At 44.1% G+C, this 3481-nt stretch overlaps 1 annotated feature.

The window, feature by feature from the left end:
* Window positions 565-779: a silencer, noted in NCBI's record as "fragment chr11:40005787-40006001 (GRCh37/hg19 assembly coordinates)". NCBI's record gives its function as "represses an EF-1alpha promoter that drives an FKBP-Casp9 reporter gene in an ReSE screen in phorbol 12-myristate 13-acetate-treated (for megakaryocytic differentiation) K562 erythroleukemia cells {active_cell/tissue: K562(+PMA)}" and the evidence as "EXISTENCE:reporter gene assay evidence [ECO:0000049][PMID:32094911]".

Here is a 3481-nt window from a genome sequence, read left to right on the forward strand (position 1 = left end):
AGAAGGAGTCAGTTCTGTCACCCAGGATGGAGTGCAGTGGCACGATCTCGGCTCACAGCAACCTCCACCTCCCGGGTTCAAGCAATTCTCCTGCCTCAGCCTCCTGAGTAGCTGAGATTACAGGCACACGCCTCCACACCCAGCTAATTTTTGTATTTTTAGTAGAGAAGGGTTTTCACGGTGTTGGTCTGGCTGGTCTTGAACTCCTGACCTCGTGATCCACCCACCTTGGCCTACCAAAATGCTGGGATTACAGGCATGAGCCACTGTACACAGCCATCAGGTATTTCTTCATAGCAGTGTAAGATTGGGCTAACAAAAAAAACAGTACCCCGGCGGGAGGTTCCAAGATGGCTGAATAGGAACAGCTCCAGTCTACAGCTCTCAGCCTGAGCAACGCAGAAGACGGGTGATTTCTGCATTTCCAACTGAGGTACCGGGTTCATCTCACTGGGGCTTGTCGGACAGTGGGTGCAGGACACTGGGTGCAACCCACAGAGCATGAGCCAAGGCAGGGTGAGGCAGCGCCTCACCTGGGAAGTGCAAGGGGTTGGGGAATTCCCTTTCCAAGCCAAGGAAAGCCATGACAGACAGCATCTGGAAAATCGGATCACTCCCACCCTAATACTGCACTTACTGCACTTTTCCAATGGTCTTAGCAAATGGCACAACAGGAGATTATATCTCACGCCTGGCTCAAAGGGTCCCATGCCCATGGAGCCTTGCTTACTCCTAGAACAGCAGTCTGAGATCGAACTGCAAGGTGGCAGTGAGGCTGGGGAAGGGGCATCTGCCATTACTGAGATTTGAGTAGGTAAACAAAGCGGCCTGGAAGCACAAAATGGGAGAAGCCCACCACAGCTCAAGAAGGCCTGCCTGCCTCTGTAGACTCCACCTCTGGGGGCAGGGCATAGCTGAACAAAAGGCAGTAGAAACTTCTGCAGATTTAAGTGTCCCTGTCTGGCAGCTTTGAAGAGAGTAGTGGTTCTCCCAGCACGGAGTTTGAGATCTAAGAATGGATAGACTGCCTCCTCAAGTGGGTCTCTGACCCCTGAGTAGCCTAACTGGGAGGCACCTCCCAGTAAGGGCCAAATAACACCTCATACGGCCGGGTGTCCCTCTGAGACAAAGCTTCCAGAAGAACAATCAGGCAGCATTTGCTGTTCTGCAATATTTGCTGTTCTGCAATATTGGCCATTCTGCAATATTTGCTGTTCTGCAGCCTCTGCTGGTGATACCCAGGCAAACAGGGTCTGGAGTGGACCTCCAGCAAACTCCAACAGACCTGAAGCTGAGGGGCCTGACTGTTAGAAGGAAAACTAACAAACAGAAAGGACATCCACACCAAAACCCCATCTGTATGTCACCATCATCAAAGACAAAATGTAGATAAAACCACAAAGATGGGGAGAAACAAGAGCACAAAACCTGAAAATTCTAAAAGTCAGAGCAACTCTTCTCCAAAGGAACACAGCACCTTGCCAGCAATGGAACAAAGCTGGATGGAGAATGACCTTGATGAGTTCAGAGAAGAAGGCTTCAGATGATGGGTAATAACAAACTTCTCCGAGCTAACGGAGGATATTCGAACCCATCGCAAAGCAGCTAAAAACCTTGAAAAAAGATTAGACAGATGGCCAACTAGAATAAACAGTGTGGAGAAGACCTTAAATGACCTGATGGAACTGAAAACCATGGCATGAGAACTACGTGGCATGTGCACAAGATTCAGTACCCGATTTGATGAACTAGAAGAAAGGGTATCAGTGACTGAAGATCAAATGAATGAAATGAAGTGACAAGAGAAGTTTAGAGAAACAAGAATAAAAAGAAATGAACAAAGCCTCCAAAAAATATGGGAATATATGAAAAGACCAAATCTACATCTGATTGGTGTACCTGAAAGTGACGAGGAGAATGAAAGCAAGTTGGAAAACATTCTTCAGTATATTATCTAGGAGAACTTCCCCAACCCGGCAAGGCAGGCCAACATTCAAATTCAGGAAATACAGAGAATGCCACAAAGATACTCCTCGAGAAGAGCAACTCCAAGACACATAATTGTCAGATTCACCAAAGTTGAAATGAAGGAAAAAATGTTCAGGGCAACCAGAGAGAAAGGTCGGGTTACCCACAAAGGGAAGCCCATCAGACTAACAGCTGATCTCTCGGCAGAAACTCTACAAGCCAGAAGAGAGTGGGGGCCAATATTCAACATTCTTAAAGAAAAGAATTTTCAACCCAGAATTTCATATCCAGCCAAACTAATCTTCATAAGTGAAGGAGAAATGAAATCCCTTACAGACAAGCAAATGCTGAGAGATTTTGTCACCACCAGGCCTGCCTTAACAAGAGCTCCCGAAGGAAGCACTAAACATGGAAAGGAACAACTGGTACCAGCTACTGCAAAAACATGCCAAATTGTAAAGACCATTGATACTAGGAAGAAACTGCATCAACTAATGACCAAAATAACCAGCTAACATCATAAAGACAGGATCAAATTCACATATAACAATATTAACCTTAAATGTAAATGGGCTAAATGCTCCAATTAAAAGACACAGACTGGCAAATTGGATAAAGAGTCAAGAACCACCAGTGTGCTGTATTCAGGAAACCCATCTCAAGTACAGAGACAGACAAAGGCTGAAAATAAAGGGATGGAGGAAGATCTACCAAAAAAATGGAAACCAAAAAAAAGCAGGGGTTGTGATCCCTGTCTCTGATAAAACAGACTTTAAACCAACAAAGATCAGAAGAGAGAAAGAGACAAAGAAGGCCATTACATAATGGTAAAGGGATCAATTCAACAAGAAGAGCTAACTATCCTAAATATATATGCACCCAATACAGGAGCACCCAGATTCATAAAGCAAGTCCTTAGAGACCTACAAAGAGACTTAGACTCCCACACAATAATAATGGGAGATTTTAACATCCCACTGTCAACATTAGACAGATCAGTGAGACAGAAAGTTAACAAGGATATCCAGGAATTGAACTCAGCTCTGCACCAAGCAGACCTAATAGACATCTACAGAATTCTCCACCCGAAATCAACAGAATACACATTCTTTTCAGCACCACACCACACCTATTCCAAAATTGACCACATAGTTGGAAGTAAAGCACTCCTCAGCATATGTAAAAGAACAGAAATTATAATCAACTGTCTCTCAGACCACAGTGCAATCAAACTAGAACTCACGATTAATAAACTCACTCAAAACCGCTCAACTACATGGAAACTGAACAACCTGCTCCTGAATGACTACTGGGTATATAAAAAAATGAAGGCAGAAATAAAGATGTTCTTTGAAACCAATGAGAACAAAGACACAACATACCAGAATCTCTGGGACACATTTAAAGCAGTGTGTAGAGGGAAATTTATAGCACTAAATGCCCACAAGAGAAAGCAGGAAAGATCTAAAATTGACACCCTAACATCACAATTAAAAGAACTAGAAAAGCAAGA

Source organism: Homo sapiens, chromosome 11 (assembly GCF_000001405.40).
Source record: "Homo sapiens chromosome 11, GRCh38.p14 Primary Assembly".
Classification (NCBI taxonomy): Eukaryota; Metazoa; Chordata; class Mammalia; order Primates; family Hominidae; genus Homo; species Homo sapiens.